At 34.4% G+C, this 23,351-nt stretch overlaps 1 protein-coding gene across 1 annotated transcript in view, besides 1 other annotated feature; it reads right to left on the bottom strand.

Annotated features, from left to right (window-relative positions):
- The window catches only part of ADGRB3 (adhesion G protein-coupled receptor B3), a 754,225-nt gene that overhangs the window by 682,172 nt on the left and 48,702 nt on the right, over window positions 1–23,351 (bottom strand). The window lies entirely within an intron of this gene.
- Window positions 12,464–13,016: an enhancer, noted in NCBI's record as "OCT4-NANOG hESC enhancer chr6:69404211-69404763 (GRCh37/hg19 assembly coordinates)". NCBI's record gives its function as "activates a minimal SCP1, AML or CMV promoter by ChIP-STARR-seq in primed H9 embryonic stem cells {active_cell/tissue: H9 hESC(primed)}" and the evidence as "EXISTENCE:reporter gene assay evidence [ECO:0000049][PMID:30033119]".

Here is a 23,351-nt window from a genome sequence, read left to right as displayed (position 1 = left end):
GCTGCTGAGAAGGAACGTATCTAAGAGCACAACAATTCAAGCAGATGTGATTTAAACTAGATTTCAGCCTATTTGGAGGCCAATTTCAAGATAATCCATTAGACAATCAGTCCAAATAGACCATACGAAAATGAAAAGATGACTTTTAAATCTGTTTTGTCACTGATATAGTCATTGTCAGCAAATCCTTCCATCAAAACAATCTTTTTTTTTTTTTTTTTTTTGAGATGGAGTCTGGCTCTGTTGCCCAGGCTGGAGTGCCGTGGTGCAATCTTGGCTCACTGCAAACTCCGCCGCCTGGGTTCACACCATTGTCCTGCCTCAGCCTCCCAAGTAGCTTGGTCTACAGGTACCCGCCACCATGCCCGGCTAATTTTTTGTATTTTTAGTAGAGACGGGGTTTCGCTGTGTTAGCCAGGATGGTCTCCATCTCCTGATCTGGTGAGCTGCTTGCCTCGGCCTCCCAAAGTGCTGGGATTATAGGCGTGAGCCACCACGCCCAGCCTCCATCAAAACAATCTTAATTATAAACGACTAGCTATGGGTAGACTACAATATTATATATGCACTGGGAAAAAAATTATTACATATGCCTGTAGTAACACTAACATTTAATTAGTTCTCATTAAGTCCCAAACTTATTCTCAGAACTTGTATGTCTCATACTATTCTACAGCAGACAATACCATTATCCCCATTGCATAGATGTAGAATTAATGCATAGAAATATTAAGTAACTTGCCCAAGGTCACATTGCTAGTAAGTGGCAGAGCCAGAATATGAACACAGGCAGCGTGGCTCAGAGCTGGTGCTCAAGTCATGCTGCTGCTACAGAAACAACACAAACATGCAGATGCACATATGTGCCATACACATACGGTCACCTCCATTATTCGTAACAAGCTTTTTCTTATAGCCTAGGTATAGTAAAATCCTATGTTCACCAAAAGGAATGTGTGCTGCTTTAATCACATCACCATATCTTTTATGGCAAATTGAGGTACTTATTTTTCAGTCCCTAGTCTTCCCCACCCCAGCCAGCTCCATCATTGCTGGGTCAAAATTTTAGCAGTGACTGCTTTCCTCTAAGTCCCAGACCCTATAATGTTCCTTCTTCTCTTTGCTCCTTTGGGGGTGATAACAGCTTCTCATTCTTGCTAGTGAAAAAGACTCTATCCTTGACCAAACTCTACTCAAGCCTCCTCTGAACGCTTTTCTCAACTACATCTAGACCTTTCAACCTCTGTGACAACCTTTGCATCATCTAATTTTAGCAAAAACCCTGTCAGTTTAGAGAGAATGCCCCCCACTTCAGTATTTGATCACCTCAATATTTGATCAACTTCCTCATCCACCATCATCCTTTAGATGATATCTGATCACCGTGGCCTGCCTTCACTAAGAATCCTGTCAAGCTGGGTTAGCCAGAATCACTCCTCACCCCTGATGTTTCCTCTTTGTAATTTTCTATCTACTGACTCCCACCCTTCTGTCTGGATGTAACTTCTCACTTGCCCATGCTGTATTTTGAACTGACTCCAGGACTATGCTGAAGTATCTTTTCCACTATTGCAGTAGCTCCTAAATAAAATCTGTGCTTGTCACTTTAACTACAGTCTAGCTCTATTATTTCTTCAGCGCTAGTCCCTGAATGTTTCCGTATCTCAGATTAGTCCACTTAGCACTGCCCACACCTTTAAATAACCCTTTCGTTAAACTCTCTTCAATTAAACCCTTCACATGTCCATCTGGTTCTGAAGGTGTGTGGTCGGGGGCACTGACAGACACAGAGTGAGACACAGAGTTAGAAGCCTAGATTGTTTGATTCCATCATGATTCTTCAAACAAACACACATTTATATTAAAAAGGAAAGGAGGAGATCCTGAAATGCGTTATCTCCCTTTCAAGACCACTGAAATGCTGATTTACATTACAATGACTTTTAGAGAAGAGAGGCTTCAGAACTTAAGTCAAGTATTCCAATTTATTGAGCATTTACTCTGTGCAATTGAAAACACAAATAGCAATGGATAAGCACTGGAGAAATCACAGTCCCTACACTCTTTGAGCTTAAATTCTAGTGGAGAAAACATACAAGCAAACATTATATTGAGTGTTACAGAATGCTGTATTTGAAAATATGACATAGCTAGGCTACTCTTCATGTTTAGGGTAATGAGCTAGAGGGAAGGGAATGACTACAAAGTTGGTGCCTAATAATAAATAGTAGCTGGACAAATAAAAAGGAAGCAAGAACATTCTAGAAAAACAAAAATCTGTGATTTGTTTTAAATACAACATTTCAAAAATGTAGCTTTCTTTTCTCTGGTAACTATTTATAAATGCATTTTGTAATTTAAAAAATATTTTCCCAGTATTTCTCTAAATATTTAATTATAATAAATAGAGACTGATATGTTTAAAGCGTAATTAAAAATATTGTTTGTGATATAGCTAAATTACTAACCAGATGTTATAGCTTTCAAAGACTGTTTGTTTCATTTAGATTTGACACAAAACTATACCTAATGATACAGGATTTTACTTTCATTGATGGAATTTCAAGCTTTACCTGCTAAAAGGAGCCCTTTGCCACAAAGCAAGGTTTTCACAGATTATTTAGCACTGATTTATCAAATCAAAGCATAATTATACATACCTGTGGACTCCAATTAAACTGGACATTTCAAAGTTCTTGTTTGTTTTCTTTTTAGAGCAAATATGTACACTCTGCTTATTTATGTAGGCTCCTCTTAAGTAAAATAATTTGGTTCTCATGAATTCAGTCAGAAGGGGAAAATATCAGAATATTGTGTTATGAGACTGTGAACTGTGACCTTAATAGACTTCTAATCTCAAAGTTATTGATAGAAATATTTTCTAAAAACAGCAAAAAGCTTTAAAGTAGGTGAATTCAAATTTGTTGCTGTTAAAAATAGCTGCTTCCCAGAGCATGCTGTTCTCTTCTTAACTTTTAATGAACTCTTGAAAGCTCACTTGAGAATGATAATCAGGTTGGCATTATTCTCTAAGTGCCCCAAATCTAAAAGCAGAGCAAAACTGTTAAAACAACAAAGATACAGTATTTTAGGTTAATAAGCCTAGATGCTTCAATAACATCATGCTTTGCTCAATAGTCCAGTTTTCTTTCTCATATTTTATAATAAATTTGGACAACCTTCAAATTAAATGTACACAGTGTTTCATAATAATTTATGTTTAAAATGTCAAAATGTTATTCAATGGTAAAATGCTGTATAATCAAATAGGTCATAAACATGTATTAGGGACTAATATATTGACAACTTTTCACTAGTAAGCTTCATGCTAAAGCCCCCTTTAAATACAAAGATGACATTTAAAATTAAATTTTGCAGAAACATCTATCAATGACAATATACTAATTTTAATGGCCGGGCACAGTGGCTCACACCTGTAATCCCAGTACTTTTGGAGGCTGAGGCAGGAGGACTGCTTGAGGTCAGGAGTTCGAGACTATCCTGACCAACACGATGAAACCCCGTCTCTACTAAAAATACAAAAATTAGCTGGGCATGGTGGCGGGCGCCTGTAATCCCAGCTACTCAGGAGGCTGAGGCAGGAGAATTGCTTGAATCCGGGAGGCGGAGGTTGCAGTGAGCTGAGATTGCGCCACTGCACTCCAGGCTGGGCAACAGAGCGAGACTCTGTCTCAAAAACAAACAAACAAAAAAAATCTTAATGAATGGGGTTCTTTTTATTTAATATTTTAGGTATTTTGTAAACATATGAATTAAATCTTTGAAAAAAGAAAATTCCCTATGTAGAGCCATAATTTAATTTACAAAATCAGTGTTGAAAAATAATTCTTCTGGAGTAGAATTATTGTATAAATTATAGAAACATATATATAGTTAAATTCAAGTCTGAATCTGACCTTTATGACTATAAATTGATACGCTCAAAATTTCAAAATTATACTTCTTTGACCCACACAATGGTAGTAGCTTATGGGAGAGTGTTTATGTTGTATTTAAGCTTGCTTTTCAATTTTTACCAAATTAAGGGAAGCAAAAATATTAATTTATAACTCTAAATTATTAATTCTGAGTGATAAAAAAGATTGTTTTGAAATCCACAAAATTTAATTTGTTCAACATTATGGCCGCTTTAAAACATACAGTAGAGTTGAAGTTATTTTACAGTAAACAGTTATATACCCATCACCTTGATTTTACTACTAACATTTTACCATACTTGTTGGTTAATACCTATCCTTCATTAATCTTTCCAACCACCCATCAATGCATCTTATATCTGATGCATTTTAACATAAGTTAACAATATTGAATAGCCAAAATGCCAAATTTAAAATATTTAGAAAAACATAGGTCTATTTTAAATACCCTGCAATAATGGCCAAAAGTCACATGAATTCTGTACAAGTTCTAGCCACATACATATGTATCCAGAAAACAAAAGCAAATCCTACATATTTTATATTTCAGTCGAATGTATCAGCCAGGGTCTGATCAGAAAAACAGAAACTACTGTGAGTGGTTCCAAAAGACCAAAATATTACCGTAAGATTTTTATTGATTATTTTATCTTGGCTGACTGTAGAGTCTCTCATTTTTCTGTTCATTTTTATTAATAGAACTGAAATATTAGGGGGCTCTAATATTTGAAAGGAAAATAATTAGAGTGCTGAGTTCTCTGTCTTTTTGGCCTTGAATCCTTTCCTATCTCCTTCCTGCTTTACTCTGTAGAGCAGCGAAACTGATCCCTGTAGGCTGTCTCACTGACACTTAAGTCAATAAGAAGTCTAAAAATAATTTGATATATTGAATTAATGCAGTCAAAGACTATATTTCCAATTTAATTTTGCAGACTCATAAGCAATTTATCAATCCTGCTGATACGGTTTGGATCTGTGTCCCCACCAAATCTCACTTTGAAATATATTCCCCAATGTTGGAAGTGGGTACTGGTGGGAGATAATTGGATCATGGGGACAGATTTCTCATGAATGGTTTAGTACCATCCCCTTGGTGCTATTTTTGCAAAAGTGAGTGACTTATGAGATCTAGTCATTTAAAAAAGTGTAGTACTTCCCTCCCTCTCCTCTCTCTCTCTCTCTCTCTCTTTCTCGCTCCTGTTCTTGCCATGTGACATGCCTGCTCCCTCTTTGTCTTCCACCATGATTGGAAACTTCCTGAAGTCTCCCCAGAAGCAGATGTTGCTATACTTCCTGTAGGGCTTGCAGATCCAAGAGTCACTTACTCCTCTTTTTCTTATGGATTACCTCATCTCCAGTATTTCTTTATAGCAGAGCAAGAACAGCCTAATACACCTGCCAAACCAGAATAAACTGTGCTTGTCCAATAACTCCTGTATCCCGTAGCTTGAAATAAATCACCAAAAAAATCTAAAATCTTCATATGTTTATAAACATCACTTCTATCTTTAAAGAGTAATTAGGATAGTGGATAAATATTAAAAAGGAAGATGTTTCCTGGTGTGTTACGACTGTGCCATTTGATGTGGGAAATTTCTGAGTTTCTTCTTTGAGGCAGAACAACAATAATGAAGAGCCAATTTAAATGTTTTTCACTGCACAGAAGAAAAATGAACCTGTTTTGGTCCTGTTGTTTTGCAAGCCATCAATCAAAAGAGCCTTGAACCAAGATGTGGCAAAAAATGAGATTTAATAAAAGAAGCAAGTTTTCAAGAAGCTGCTCTATGAATCTGACATGAGGAGGAGCTATAATAATAGCCACACCAACTTGCAAATGCAAACTTTTCTCCTCTGATTAAATTATCTTGTAAAGATATATACATCACAAGAAGGTGAATAGGTTTCGTGTTACATATTAACTCAGATCAATTGGTAGTGACAGCCTGGAGCCCTGTATTGAGTGTGACTGGATTCTCATTTGGACCAGGTGAGGAAGAAGGCCTGACTAATGATTGATGTCTACTGTTGGAAAGGATGGAGGGAACTAACAGTGAGTCATGCTTGTTTGTCAGCCCAGTCCCAAACAATAATCTGAGGCTATGTTTCAGTCAGTGGCTATGAAATATCGAGGCAATGGAATTGATTTATTGGCTTTACTATTGTACCATTTTCAACACTGCGAGATTTAGTCAGAAGCCGTTTTCTTGCTGACAAAAATAAATGACAGTTTCATAGTGGCAACTTTCATTGATTATTCTAATCATTTTGAAGTGCTTTTTATAATTTAAAATTAAATTTACTCTAATTTCGGCATAGAATCAAAGATATTCATTAGGATACTTAAGTCTTTCATGTGTTCTATGAAATTCCTTGACTAAATCTACAAAACAAATTTTTTTATAGTTTTTTAAATTATTTTATTCTTTATTATACTTCAAGTTCTAGGGTACATGTGCACAACGTGCAGGTTTGTTACATATGTATACATGTGCCATGTTGGTTTGCTGCACCCGTTAACTCATCATTTACATTAGGTATATCTCCTAATGCTATCCCTCCCCCCTCCCCCCACCCTACGACAGGCCCCGGTGTGTGATGTTCCCCTTCTTGTGTCCAAGTGTTCTCATTGTTCAATTCCCACCTGTGAGTGAGAACATGCGGTGTTTGGCTTTTTGTCCTTGCGATAGTTTGCTGAGAATGATGGTTCTTTACCTTAGTTACAAGGAAGAAAAAGACCTAAAATTTCCTCAATTCCATGACAACTAACAAGTTAGTTGTAAAGGGGTTTCTATTTGTCTTTTCTATACTGAAATTGTTTAATTATGATGGATAAAGGGAAAACACATTACAAATAAAATAACACTGACTATATTTGGTATTGTTTTAATGGCAGAAGTTAGAGGAGAAAAATTACAGCAGATCTCATTTATACTTTCCAAATCCCTTTTCTATGATCAGATAATGCTAAATTGATTCCAACCGTTTATAGATTTCCTTTTTAACCTCCTCTTATATTGATTGCAGTGAGAAAAAAAAAGGTGTTTTGAAAATAAAGTAGATCTACTCAAGGGAAAAAAAATGTAATGTTTGCCCTTAAGGAGTATAAATATTTGATAGCATACTTATTTAATGCCTTCTTAAAGATTTCTTGTTTGGATTTGAAACTTCTGCCCTGTGTCCACATTAAAGTCCTATTCAAGACCCTGTCCCTCCCTTTGCCCTGGTCCACCTAGGCACCTGAATGTGTTTTTGCATTATTTGTATAAGTATCAAAATTTGCATTAAGGTGAAGACCACATGGTGTTTATTTACCTGTTCTTTTACCCCTTTTTCTCCTCTCGACCCTGGAGGAGTTTGTGTGTGTGCATTTATATGTTTTACAGATTCCCTAATATGGTTATTATATATCTTCACTATTCTATGATAAAGGAATGATTTGAGTCACACAGTTAGGAGTGAAGATGTCTTTGAAAATAGGAGGTACCTGAGAAATATCAGTGTGGACGACTGCCCTTTGCTTGAATCCCTTACTACACCTCCCTCTAAAGGCAGGGTTGTCTTCTATTTGTCCATGCCCCCCACCTACTGCTTGGGTGAAGGGAAAGAGGTCCCTAGGACTGTTGTTCATAATGGGCATGCTCCAGCACACTAATTGGTCGAACTGCTCTCGGTGGTGATGCGCAATCAAATTTCCCCAGCTTATTATGTCACTCTAAGAGCTCTGGGTATTTGTATTCTGTTTGTGATTTTTGCCCATGCCCTCAGGCCTGATTTGGGTCTCAAATGGGAGATTCTCTTAATGCAAAGGAACCTATCAGATGTTAAAAGAAGAGATTGTCTGAGTAGAAATAAATGTAATCAATCAAGTACCAACAACTATTACAGATAATATTTTTAGTTTCTCATAAATATGTCTCAAAATATTAAAAAATTTGTCACCCAAGCTGTGAAAGTTTCTCCCCTTCTGCCAGTATTCAAAACAAATTAATACATCCCAAGAATTATTTCTGTTTTATTTTATAAAGATCTTTGAAATACTGATCTCTGAAAAATTCTAGGAACACATTAGCTGGATTTACTCTTTAGAATTGCCTCATTTACGTGCTAGTTTTTCTCTCAATAGGAGTAATTTACACAAATAGATGCACCCATCTGGTCAAATTTATTGGCCTGAAGTATCTGCAAAATGTAAAGTGATTATTCAAAGAACAAGTTTCTCTAATTGTTGTTAAATACAGAAGAGTTAATGTCCATTCATATTGTAGAAGTGGGTGTTTCACAATTTGTGATCCAAAATATGTAGAAGCTAAGGGAATGTTTTCAGTATAAATAAATGATTCATTTTAAAATAATATTTTAATATTCATTTTATTAATTTTCCTCCAGGGAAAAATTATACAAAAGTTAGATAAATCTGTGTTGAAGTAAAAGGAATCATAGATAAAAATTAAAATCACCTGGGAAAATTTGTACAAATAATCTATATGCCTAGACCTACCTATTAGAGATTTTCAATCAACACATCTAAGATAGCATATTTGATCCTTCCATTACCTGTGACTATTACCTGTGTCTTTCATAGAAATCACAAAAAGCAGATCACAACACCGTCTATTTAGCAGATCTTCCTCAAATCCACAGGCTGGAATAAATATCTTTTCTATTTGCTTTCCTAGCACCCTCTCACTAAACCACATTTTAATCTCATTATCAATAACCATGTTCTCTTTAAATTACCAGGTTCATTTTTTAAAGGCTCCTGTGCTCATTACTAACTCTCATAAAGGTAAGAATGATGCTTTTGTGCTTGTCATACAGCAGACATACAATGATGTCACTGAGATAAAATAAATTTAAAAGATAGAACAAAATGAATGTAATAATCTCAAATAAAATAAACTGAAAAAATTAAGCAATTAATACACGAACCTTCCTAAGAATCAAGAGTTCCTATTTATTTTGAAAAACTCATTCCCATTCTTTATGGTATGATTTAAGTGCTTACTTGTTGGTGCCTCCTCATTGGTTTCTATTTTTGTGTTACAATCTTACACATTCTTAAATGAGCACTACCTCATTTAAACATTCTCTAAACCTTGCATTTCTGTGTTTTAATTGACCTTTCCCAGTTTTCCGCACTACCAACCACATAAAAAACATTCAGTTCCAAAGTGTTCTAAATTGCAAGACAATTCAATGAAATCAAAATATAATTTGTATTTCATTGGTTAGTTTTAAATTTGAAATAAGTGGTAATATTTATAATATATATTATAACCATAATAGTTACAATACCATATGTTTATGAATCTGTATCTATATCTATCATGTATATAGCATTTGTGTAGCCAGCTAATATCTATCATCTATCTAGCTATGTATCTTATATCTGTTTATATCTATATCTGCCTCTCTATATGTCCATTTGATCCTTACAATAAAACCAAATAAAAGATATTATTAATTCAATTTTACAGATGAAGAAATATAATTTTATATTATATAAATAACTTGTACAACATTATTTGACTATTAATTGATGGAGTCAGAATTCAACCTCAAGTTCCTCTAAATGCAAATCCTTTGAAAGTCTTCAACAGCAAAGAGCTAGTCCTATATCTGGTAAACAGGGCAATGTGGAATAAAAAGAAAGGTGTCTGTTTTGCCAAATCCTAAAGATTAAATAACAGGTGGCAAGCAATGACATTGCCCCTATTAAAATGAGTGACAGTGCTGTACAGTTTGTTTCACTAAAAGAGAAGACAAGGAAGTCTGAGGATGATTTCTAGACAGGAATCATCATTATACAGAACCAAGTAGCTAGGTCACTCCATTAGACTGATTGAAATTATTAAGATAAGTAGTATGAGTCAACACTAAAAATGTTACTATGAAAAGCTTAACCTCCTGCAATAGAAGAGAGAACAAAGAAATCCAGCACAAAAAGGCATTCCATGTATTTTTTTTAAAAGAACAAGTATATAAATGAGTTTACATGCTCGAAGAGAAAAATTCATTTGCCACTTAGACTAGTATTATAAGCATTGATCAACAATGATGATCAAAGCAGGCCATATATACAAATTTCTAAGTTTAAAAATATCAAAAGCCTTACTTTAAGAAGTCCATCTTAAAATAAATCCCAAAGAAACTGGTTAATTGAAATGAAACAGTTATTTATGAAATTTGCTTTTGTCAACAAAATGCAAAAATAATGCCCTTCCAAGAGAGAACAGTGTAAAACTTATTTCTAGACATTAATATGGGAAGCTTTCTTTTTAACATAAACTCAAAGTTGAACATTTTGATTTCAAGGTTTGATCCATCCAACACACAGTTCCTGAGAGAGAGAGAGCATCTTCTTAGAATTCTTTGTGGTTCTCTGAGGTCTTTTTATTCTCACTGACTGAGCTGACTGAATAGCACAGGTGACAATTCTCTAAGAGTAAGAAGTACCACAGTACAAGACATTTGCACAATGGAATCAATTTACAGGAGGACGAAAGGTTTTTAAATTAATCAAAGTAGTCTGGAGTTTACAGATTTTCTTTAAAGAAAATGCTTATGCAAAGTTAACTACAATTTGTCTAAATTTGCTTCATGTTGACCTCCTGTAATATAAAAATAAATGGTTAATTGTCCTTGACTAAAGGACCTGAACACTTTATGATTGTTAAAATAGTTTAAAATTTAACTATTTGGAGCCAAGTTAGAAACTGACATTTAATTACTGGTAATCATTAGAAAAAATTATATAAATTTGTCATATAATGTGAAAAAAATTATTCTTATTATATTATAAATGTAAATGTCCTAGAAGGAGCTCATAAGGAACATTTTCCTCCATGTCAGAATAATAATACATCAAGTTCAGGAATTTCCTTATCCAAAAACTTTCGTTAATTCAGTTGTGATTTTGATTTTACTTCCAAATTAGGTTGTGCAAAATCCCATAGGTTTTTTTTTTAATTTTTAGAAGAAAAGTGGCAAATGTCAATTTTCAAAAATACAGGAAACTATAAAAATTTAAAATCCAACTTATAGATGGCTTTATTAACATTATTATATAGGCCTTTGTATCTTTAATGCAGAAAAGTAGAGAGTAAAAAAAAATACATTCAGCTTTTAATTTCCAAAATAAGCATTTGATTCCACAGCGACACAATAATCTTAAGTGCCAAGATTTACTTAAAGAGAAAATGAGAAATTCCAAAAGTTCCCTCTAAATATTAAGTGTTAATCTTGGCTAATTCGGATCACAAAAGCTTACTGTAAACCATTGATAACGGGATTTCAGAGAAGTTCTGGCCAGGCAAGAAGACGAATGGAAAGCCTTCAGAGAGGAGGAAGGGGAGATTCAGATAAACAGAACCTGAAAAGAGACTACCCCCTTTGGGTCGCAGCCAAATACAGGAAGGCGCTAAGAAAATCCACAACAAAAATCCTAGATATGCAAATGGGGGAAGCCAAGAACATCTGAGAATCCAGCTCCTTTGCCTCACAACATTTAATGTGTCACACGCAGTTATTTTACCTCTGTAGGGTCAAAAGCACTGAAAAATGACACCGAGATTGTCTATTTGGGCTCAGTCATCCCTATATGTGTTGTATGACAGAGCCAGCATTTTGATCCCATCAAGGTAGCAGTCAGATTGGGAGAGGACAGCAACAGCAAGACCCACCAAGAATAGACTGCAAGTCTCACTCGCTGTGGACTCTTAACAGTAGTTAAGAAGTTACCCAGACATCACTCATGTCCGGTCCCAGTCTTTAGGAGACCAAAAGAAACCGAGGAAATGTCACACAATCCAGGGGGCCCTTCCCCATCACAAGAAGACATGTTCCTAGGCTTTCTTTTACATCCTGACGCCATCTTGGAATGAGAAAGCAAACACTAGCATAAGAGACTGGTAATCTACTCAGAAGAGGCCTTTTGCTGAAAGTTTAGATTTGTTCCCCTCTTTTCTCCCTGCTACCTGTCTCCCATTAGTGGTAAATGAGTGCAAGAAGAAATTACACTCAGAAGGAGGGACAATTTTTTTAAGGCAATTTGAGTTATGGTAATTTCAATTCAATTTTGGCATGCTATACAGATGTCAAAAGAAATTCTCTGATATGATTTCAGGACTGGATGATATTTTTCAATTATAGCCATTTTTTAAAAGCCTCACCTTTATCATATTGCTCCCCTTTGTCATTTCTCTACATTCAAGCAGCTATCTGTGCTATCTCATACTGCAGCCACTAGCCACATGTAGCCATTTAAATTAAAATAATTAAAACTGAATATAATTAAAACTTCACTCTCTCAGTCACATTAGCCACACTTCAGGTGCTCAGTTGCCACATGTAGCTATTTCCATCATCACAAGTTTTATTAGATATCACTGAAAATAGACTATACGATGCCTATTACCTCGTAAGAGGGGATATAAAATGGCCCAATACAGAAAAGGATGAGTATTGCTGACTTTGATTTCTAAAACCCTAAACCCATAGAGACATAAAAAGAAGTCCAAGGTATTAACCACAATGCTTGGGAGAATGGTGTTTAAAAAGACTGATGCTTTCTCCAAAGACAGGAACCCTGGCCTAGGGAGCAAGAAGATAGTGGTGAAGGGATAGAATCTAGAGATGAGGGACAGGAGCAGTTATTGGGAGTTAGGAAAGTTCAAAATACTCATTTCCTTTTCCTAATGTAGGCTGGAGACAAGAGAATGACCATCAAAAAAGGGACAGAGCACCAGAGTTTAAGGGATCAGGAGGAGAGGAACACAGCATGCCTCTGAGGTAAACAATAGGAAAAATAATTGAGGGCCACATGGGATAATGGACATCTCAGCAGACATCTGTGTGTGTAGTCAGAAGACTAAAAAAACAAGGTGAATTAGCCCTTTCATACACACCTCCCCCCACCTCACTCCCATACCAGTGCCTTGATACTAGTTACCCTCTCAAACTTCGATAAATCTCAGTATAGTGGTGGGGGTGGATATAAAAAAATTCACTTAAGTTAGGTTTCTGCCACTCAAATGGATGGCTGGTGGTTCTAAATGGATCTATACATCTTATTAACCAAGTTAGGAAATAAAATTATATTCATCCTCTGTATACTTTCTTATAATAAGGTGCAATATGTCAATTCACTAGGCCCCTGGCATCATGCCTCCTATAAAGAAAAACTGCCCATTTTGTCAACAGTCCTAAATTTGCAAATGACACTTTTGAGTGCTTTCCAAATTTGGGGGTAGATGCCACCATGTGTTCCTGGTGATTAATATGCATCTAATTTGTCAATTAGTATAGAACATCCAGTCCTGCTGATATCATAAGTTCAGAATGAAAAATATTGTTTTGGTAATTCATAAATATGCATGAAAATCAAAGACCAATATACATCACAGAAAAGAAACACTAAGAGAATGAGATACCTTGCATTACTTAGTTTTATGAAACTCCAAAATTCTTTGTAAGGAGTCAGGATATGCCATGGTCCAGTTAACTGGTTCATATAGAATAATATGGAAGGTTCTACCACTATCTTTTCAAAAATTTGAAATTCTTAAATACTGAAGACCATCGCTTAAAAACATACCAATGCAAAGTTTTCTTCACTACATTCATGATACACTGCGGTATGCGTCAATAGATAGTCAGACCTCAGGCCTGACAGTTTATTTCACTCATTTCATTTGGTTGGTTGTGTAGTTAATTTTCATAAGCCTAAAACCCAGAGTTGGAATTACAGGGACATACAAGAAAAAACTGCATACACTGAACCCACAAATGAGTAGACATTTTATTAGAAACTATTTGACTTTAACAATTTTCCCACTATCATTTTCTTTCTTAAGCTCACACTTACCTTTAAAACTGAGGACACTTTGCTTTCAACTTGAGTTTCCTTAAATTGATTCTATGGAGCTGAGTCATCAGAGAAGCCCCACTAACCACCTTTCTTTTTTAGTATATGTTTTCAAGCTTTGATTTTTAAGAGGCCTTCTAAAAACATTATTTCATTGTTGACATTTTTAAGGAGTGTACACTAGTAGCTACCATTTTCATTTCTCTTTACAACCCCTGTGCTGTAGGAAAAATTATTTTCCCACCCGTCAAAATAGGAGTAGGAGTTAAAAGGCAAACTTTTAAAACAGTGATATCAAGTTTCAAAATTCTATCAATTTCAAAATTACTGTAACACAACACAGCAATTCCTCATTGCTACCTCATTTAAACGTTCTCTAAACCTTGCATTTCTGTGTTTTAATTGACCTTTCCCAGTTTTCCACACTACCAACCACATAAAAAACATTCAGTTCCAAAGTGTTCTAAATTGCAAGACAATTCAATGAAATCAAAATATAATTTGTATTTCATTGGTTAGTTTTAAATTTGAAATAAGTGGTAATATTTATAATATATATTATAATATAACCATAATAGTTACAATACCATATGTTTACGAATCTGTATCTATATCTATCATGTATATAGCATTTGTGTAGCCAGCTAATATCTATCATCTATCTAGCTATGTATCTTATATCTGTTTATATCTATATCTGCCTCTCTATATGTCCATTTGATCCTTACAATAAAACCAAATAAAAGATATTATTAATTCAATTTTACAGATGAAGAAATATAATTTTATATTATATAAATAACTTGTACAACATTAATGCTAAAATCAAACCAGCAAAGGAAGCCTTAGGGATATTTTAAAGTGGTTGTTTGAGACTAATATTGCCTATTGGAGGTTATTGAACATTGCTAGTAAATGTGTATTTCATGGGCCTTTGGGTACCTAGAGTACAGGTTTAAGTAACCCCTGGTATATTTTCTGTTTTAAACCAAGGTGAAGAAACGGTGTAGCATACAGAAATTTAAATGCATTGTCTCACTTTTTAAAATTAGGGAAAAAATTATAAAAAGGAAGAGTTCAAGATCAAAGAGTAAATATACTTTGAGCAAGATGACTTATATTTGTTCAGCATCCTCACTTGCTGTGTTGTTATTCTTTACTTTTTTTGTAATTTTAAATATGGAAGAAAGAAGATTTCATTGCTTTAAACACGAAATTAACTTCCTAGGGGATAATCAAAGTAGTTATTCCATATGTAAACAGCATTTGAAATGACATCAAAGTTAATGGGCTCTAAAAACTGATTGCAAGTGATTTTGCATAGTTGATTCAAATGTTAGAAAATGTTTATCCTAAATTTTCTAGGGAATACATTTGAAATTATTTTTATAAATAATTATTAAAATCCTCCATTTATAATTGTGATGTCTAAGTACTGCAATTGATCCATAATGGTTTTTGCAGATGAGTATATATGTGCACAGTAGTAAAAAATGTGTACACATGGCCATTCTTTTGTAAATCTTCAATATACTAACAATTTGTGAATGAAAAACAAGCTTCTTTCACTGATTTCATTAGTACCTGTTAATAAAATGTATTTGAAATTTATTAAGCAATCCAGATATCCAATGGAGGCTATATATTAAGTATCTCGATTGCATACATACATATATATATATATATATAATTGTCCTTCTAATTAAGGATTAGGATAGTACTCACAAGTAGAGTAGAAATAGAAATTGGTACTTTAACAAATGCTTATAATTATTACTTAGTGGTGAACATTAGCACCTATTGTAGCTAGGTACTGAATTAATCAGTGACCTGATGCTCATATGTACTGAAAAAATTTATTTTAAGAATGTGAAAATGTGAATTAAATAATATATTATCCTTAAATCATATCTAAAATTGTTGGTTAAGATAGTGACAACAAAAGTCAATGCATTTAAAATCAGTTACATTTAGATTGTTGCATAGTAAATCATAATTTTAAATACACTATTTTCAATCAGAGGATTCAACTGAGATAGTAGGTAATAAATGAGCTTCAAATAGTGCATATAAGTTGCCGCTAGCCATAGCCACATCAATTTCAAAATTTCCCTGAGAGGAATAAAACTCAGACACTACACATTCATCTATCAATCGACCAAATGCCTGGTCCTTGTTTCAAGGCTATTGAATATTCATGCAGCTGTGACTTAGCACTCTTACAAAGTCAGCAGCTATTTCAGAGAAAAGCAAGAAAACATGATGAGAAACTTACCACAACGTCTATCACAATTCAGATAGTTAATTAAGAAAAAAAGTCATGTACTCTATAAAGTACATTCAGTTTTGTTAAGATCCATTCAAATATTCAACTGATTCCCCTAGAACTGAAATGGACAAATAATTATACTTGATCCTATATGCATTTTAACTTTTGTCCTGAAGTAACAAAAAATGAAACAAAATCAGTTAAAAGTATTTTTGGCAATCATCAATTTCCTAATATGTGTAAAATAATGTTGCACTGTTGGATAAAGTGTTCAGTTGTCAGAAAAAAAATACTGGCCCGATTTAATGAAATGATTATTAGAATTCCTTAAAAGTTATTTGTATAGTCTTTTCCTTTCCTTAACAAAACTGCAACCCAAAATGTGTTCTCTACGAAATAAATGGGAAAATAAACATAAAATAATAAAGCATGGCATAAAATGAAAGATGAGAACTGTTGGATTTGGGGTGATGGTCATATACTATATACCAGATTAGAGGTTTAACCCATATAATTGTACTTAATCCTTATAGTAGGTAGCTGTTATCCAATCTCTTATGGCTGAGGTTTTACAGATGAGGAAAGCTAGGCTTAGAGGTTAAGCAATTTCATAAAACTAGTAAAGTGAATTAAACCCAAAGTTTTCTAAGTCAAACTTTGTGTTCTTTCCATAACCCCAGGAGAATGGATAGTAGTCAGGGGCAAGAAATGCAAACTAATCTTCTTAGTTTCTCTGTAAATCTAAAATATACAGAAATTTGATCCTGTTCATGGAGATCATACTAGTGGGGCAGAATACATTCATTCTGACAATAGCAAATCTATTATTATGTGACAAAAAGGGCATTTCTCCTACTGTGACAAATTTTGAAAGGGGGAAACTTGTATCCCTAAATATATTTTAGTCTGTGTTTCCATGCCTCAAAAGCACCCAAACTACAAAGGTACGTTGTAATATTTCCAAGTCTTTTTAGGGAAAAACTTCCTGCACACACATTAGAGTTGTAGTTAGTCCTATAAATTGTTCTCAGCAGCTCAGTAGCACGTAAAGGCTAAGCTTTGTATCTGCATTAATCACTCACTGCATAGAGGATTGTACATTCAATGACCTAAGACAGAAAAGGAAAGCAGACAACCCTACTTGCTCACTGCCTGAGTGAGAGTTTGCATCACAGCTTCAATCCAGGAGTCCAAGTGCTTCAATTTCACACCCACTTACACCTATAACCACAGACACAATGGACAAGGACTGTGCTAAGAAGGCTAAAGAGAAAGTGGTTTCCAGGAAGTTATTGATGCAGGAGTTGTGAGTATAATGACCAGAATGACAAAATATGTGAAGAGACAGGCAAAACAATCTCAGCAGGCTTGAAAATGTTGGGGTCAAGAAAACTGTTCTGAACTTTTGTTTCAGAATAAGGTATTTGGTACTTAAATTACAATTCATCCACCTTTGATAATGTGTCCCCTTCACAAATATATTTAGTAATAAATTCGTAAGTATTACATGACTACATAAATTAACAGCTCCTTATCGGCTTTTAAAAGTTGTTTTTTTTTCTTTTGGTTCATCATAAAAAAAACAAAAACAAACAAACAAACAAAACAGAAGAAACAATAAAATCAACCAACCAACCAAAAATCTATGTCAATTTTGCTCTCTTTTTCATGGAGTTTGAATTACTGATAAAGAGATTCTCATAATTTTAAATATTAATATAAACCTGTACCCAGGTATTTAAATAGTAATCTACATTATTCTAGACCTTATTTTAAGGGTATTCAGGCCTGAGCCGGTTAATCTTGGTTTGTTCCCCTCATTAGATTTGCGGTCTGCCATTCTCTGCTCTGCTTTGTACCCTATGAACTGCACCATCTAAAGTTCCTTGGCCCCTAGCTCATATTAGCAGCAACCAGAGTCAGGAGGCTCCAACAGGAGTTTGAAGTGGTGGGGTCTGAGGGAGTTCTTAGTCCTCTGCCTGCCTGCCTCAGTGCCTTGACTCTAATGACACCTACCCTCCCCCAACCCTGCCCTTTAGGACCCTGAGCTCTCTTCAAGCTCAGATACCATAGTTTTCTCCACTTGCTTCTTCAGGCATTGGGTAGCTGACAACTTCCCACTGTTGCTTTTCCTTGGGCACTTCACCCTTAACTCTGACCATACCTCTGTAAAAGGTCCTTATCCTTAAACGGCTATTTACAGACGTATGGTCAGAGTTAAGTCACCCTCTAAGGGTTTCCTCAGGTAAACCCTTGGAGGGTGTCATCTGTGTCTTGGTGGAACTCCAATACAAGGCATTTTTGGAAGAAATCTATAATCTGACAGAGTAAAATAAGAAATGATTAGGACAATGGGGAATCATTAATGCAAGGATTAAATAATGCCAGAGAAAATGTTAGACTTCAGAAATCCATTCCAATCAAGTCCTGTGGTCTGTTGTTAAAGGTGCGTTCTAAATTTGATTCTAAGCTTTCAGAAACAAGAGGTTCATTTCCTGTGAAGTCAACAAAGCTTAAGCTTCAGGACCTTTCCCTTGCAGAGGACTCCCAAGGCCCTGGGAGGGGACCTAATAAATATGTTTACATGATAATTCATTTTTGTAAAATTTACACAAATGAGATATTTCAGTTATAATTAATAAAGACCATTGTCTCTTTCCAAGAAAACGTTATCCCTGTTACATTCTCCCCTCCTACTGAGTGGCTAAACAATGGCCGTGGGTAATTTGAGATCCAGTTGTGGTGAAGGTGAGTTTTGGATTCTTTATATTTGGGTTTTGTAGAATCTTCTCTAGATGCTTGATGTTTGGGCAAATATCAAGTATTCAACTCAACTAAGTTTAGGTTGGTGGAGGGGAAATTATAATATCTTAGAATATAGAATATTTAAGTTAAAAGAGAAAATAAAATCTTTAAACATTAGGCTGAAACTAATGTTAAATTTATCGATCATGGCATATGTCAGAGTGAAAAGAACAGGGGACTCAGAACCAAGTCACCTGCATGCTAATTAAGCTTCAGCACTTTTGTGGCAGTGGGCAAGACACTTGACCTCAATTTTATTATCTGCAGAATGATGGGGTTGGCATTGTGTTTCTTAGGTTCTTTCTCCATCTTAAGCCAACCATGACAACTTGATCTTATAAACAGTGCCTGGATGTAAAGAGCTCCAGCTTCCATGACTTAATTTTTTTGGACAGGTTACTCAATCTCCTTTTGACTCAATTTCCTCAAGGGCCACATAGAGATAACATTATATTTCTCTCTTTCTGAATGTGTTTGGCAGGAATGGTGAAAAATTATATTGTTCTTCTACTAAAACCTAGTGTACCTTAGTGACTAATGTACCACAGAAAACTCATTTTATGCATACTAACACTGGAGAAAAATAATCTTGGGAACTTGCAGGTATTTTTCACATGAAAACAAAGTATATTAAAGTACATTTTCATTCTCATAGCACTTTCTTTTTTTCCCTCACAGATCTTATCAGAATTGTTAGTTGTACATTTATCTGTGTGAGTTACATTTCTGTTTTTTTCCTCTGAAAGGTGACGCTCCTAGTGAATGGTACATAATAAATACACAGTAAGTGTTTGTTGATTATTCATGAATGAATGAGTGAATGAATGAATGCTGGCTAATTATGTGCTTAATTCATGTAAGGCAATAGAAACAAGTATGGCCACAATTTTTTTTATTTGAAAAGAAGATACCTAGCTCATTTCCAAAATTTAGACACAAACATACATGGCAAAATATGCATCGCATATACCTGAAAACTGATACCTTAGCCTTCTTGGTGCCTCAAACCAGATCCTGTTCAGACATGTTATAATAAATTATTATAAGCTTATTTTGGTGCAAAAACATTGCAAATCCATGCATAGTTTTTTCATAACATATATTTTCTATGAACTTTTTGAAGATCATGTATATAAAATATGAGCATGTGTGTACATTTATATATATAAAACTTTCAAAAGAAAAATACGTGATATGAAATTTAAATGTCTTTCTTCATAACACTAATAATGGAATCTTTTTCTCTGAATCAAACCTGATATTTAGGAACTTTAAAAATATATTTAGGCTTTGTTAGAAATTCTACCACATGTATATAGATATTTTCTCTATATATGAGAAAAAATATGATATATATCATAAATGTATATATCCATATATGATACATAGAAGATCCATATACATATGGCAAAATGTGTGTGTAAATAAAAATATATATCCCAAAACTACTTAAAGTCACTGAATGCACGTTTTTCAAAAAGCATATTTTTAAAAATCACTTTAAAATTCATATAATAGCTTTTTAGATTGTCAGGTTATACCTTCTTGAGAACTAGAATCTTTTTAATGAGACAATATATTATCTGAAATCACTGATGCCTTATGAAAAGTTAATGTTGACAATGCCCCAAAGAAATTAGCAGCTTACAAACAAATGACTTATTTTAAGAAAGGAGAAGATGATGTGATGTTCAAAATGAAACCAACCACATTGATTTGTGAGGAAAAATTAATCTTGTTCGTGCCCTAAATGAGAAAGACTGACAATTGACAGCACCAACAACAGCCAGTATCTTAGATATCTCAGTTGGTTCAGCTTACCCGATTTTGACTGAGAAAGTAAAGTTGAGCAAACTCCACTGATGTGTGCTAAAACCACTGTGGCCAGATCAGCTATGGAAAAGAGCAGAGCTTTAAATGGAAATTTTAAACAAGTAGGATCAGGATCCTGAAGCTTCTCTGCAAAAAAAATTGTAACAGGAGATAATCATGGCTTTACCAGTATGACCCTGAAAACAAAGCACAATCAAAGCAATGGCCACCAAGAGGTAGAAGTGATCCAGTCAAAGCAAAAATGGATCAGTCAAGAGCAAAGGTCATGGCAACAGTTTTTAAGGATGGTCAAGGCATTTTGTCATTGACTTTTTAGAGGGCCAAAGAAAAATCGTATCTGCTTATTTTGAAAGTGTTTTGAGAAACTTAGCCAAAGGTTTAGCAGAAAAAATATCCAGGAAAGCTTCACCAGAGACTCCTTCTCCACACAACAATGCTTCTGCTCATTACTGTCATCAAATAAGGGCAATTTTGCAAGAGTTTGATGGGAAATCTTCAGGTGTCCACCTTACAATCCTTCTTTGGCTCCTTCTGACTTCTTTTTGCTTCCTAATCTTAAGAAAGCCTTTAAAGGACACATATTTTCTTCAGTTAGTAATGTAAAAAGATTATATTGACATGGTTAAGTCCCGAGAACACTCAGTTCTGTAGGAATGGACTGGTATCATCACTTACAAAAGCGTCTTACACTTTAGGAAGCTTATGTTGAGAAATAAAGTATATATATATTTTGAGACAGAGTCTCGCTCTGTCGCCCAGGCTGGAGTGCAGTGGCGCCATCTTGGCTCACTGCAACCTCCGCCCCTCCAGATTTAAGCAATTCTCTGCCTCAGCCTCCAGAGTAGCTGGGATTACAGGCGCGTGCCACCATGCCCGGCTAATTTTTTTTTTTCTTTTTTGTATTTTTTTTAGTAGAGACGGGGTTTCACCATCTTGGTCAGGCTGGTCTTGAACTCCTGACCTCATGATCTACCTGCCTCGGCCTCCCAAAGTATATTTTTATTTTTTTAATTCCCTTTCTTCCACAGACTTTTGTGGTTCTTTCATATCTGCTACATAAAAATGAATAACTTTCTCAAGTTTGAGTCAGCACAATAACACAGAATTTGCCTTATATTAAAGAACTTTAATTTTTGGTTCTTTCCTTCCCCATTGTCTGTCTTTCTATTTTTTCTATGTTCTATTGCTTTAAATTTTCTATTTCCACCTCATATACTGAACTTTTATTTTGGCTCTCATATTTTTAATTTCTCAAAGTTCTCTCTTGTTCTCTGAGTTTTAAAAATATATAATTCACTTTTTGTTTCAGAGATACAATATACAATTACATTTAATTCAGGACAATAATTTATAACTTCTTTAAATTTATCTTTGGCACCCTGAAAATCTTCATTTTTAGGGTAGTTTTAACCTCTTTTATTTAAATTCTTAATTTTATGGGTATTCCTTAACTTATTTAGGAGTAAAACATGAATAAGTTGATTGGAAACTCTACCTCTGTCTGTGTATGGTACAACTAATCAATGAATTTCACAGAAATGCAAATTCAGCTTTCTGTTAGAGATATTCAATGTTTAAATATGTTGAAAACTTTTAGTCTGAGTTTCCCAGGGTCTGTTGAGTCTTTCCCTGAAGGTAAATGGTACCAATATTTAGGGTTGAGAAGAGTAAGAAAATGAAGCATACTCTCCTTTTTCTTTGAGTATTTTACCCACCGAGTTTGTCCATCATGTTACCCCATGCTCTTATGATACTCAGGAGCCAAGTCTAAATATTACTTGATTTCAGGAATATATGGTGATTTGAGTGACTAGTAATAATTTATAAATTAAATTAGATGAATTTATGATATATGGCTCCAGTTCTATTTTTAAAAATAATCTATTTATGTATAGCTAGTATATCATAAACACATCCTCAAAATTTCTCTGGAAATTTTCCCTACATTAACATTAGAATCTCTCATAGTTGCAATTTTTATATCACATTGCACTCATTTTTCTCCCAATGGAAATCAAGTTCCTCTTAATAAAGGTTATATTAAAAGAGGGCCTAATTAAAAGTAGGCCAGACATGTCAATTCAGATTTCAGTGACCCCATTATAAAATGTAAGATTAAATCTCAAGAAATGGTCAAATTCTGTATTTTTTAAGTGTTGTCTAAAAAATACATCTTTTGTAACTTGTTTGCCTCTGAGTTAGCAAGATTATTATAAAAAGATGGAAATTGAGCTTTAAAAAAGTATAGTTTAAACTGTAACAATGCAATAGAATGAAAACTAAGAAGTAAATGTCTAGGAAAGGCATTGTGTAGACTCAGGAAAAAAATAAATAACATTCAGATCAATATGTAAGACTGACAAGGTAGATAAACCAAGTAGATTAAATCCAGAGTGACAGGGACAACCAGAGGGCAGACATGAGAGCTATCAAGACTATACAGGAACATTACAAATTCTAGGACACTATGACTGAGAACAAGAGAAAGATTGAAAACTAACATTCCAAGCTAGATTTATACCGTGTCTGTTGCCGCATATTTCAGAAAATTTAAAATTAATAAAAAATCTATATTTCCAGTTTTTCTTAATAACATATCAAGTCAGGAAATACTTGCCCACATTTCTAAATGACAGAAGTC

The sequence above is a fragment of the Homo sapiens genome, chromosome 6 (genome assembly GCF_000001405.40).
Source record: "Homo sapiens chromosome 6, GRCh38.p14 Primary Assembly".
Classification (NCBI taxonomy): Eukaryota; Metazoa; Chordata; class Mammalia; order Primates; family Hominidae; genus Homo; species Homo sapiens.
The sequence above is the reverse complement of the archived record's forward strand: the minus strand, read 5'-3'. Positions and strand labels throughout refer to the sequence as shown.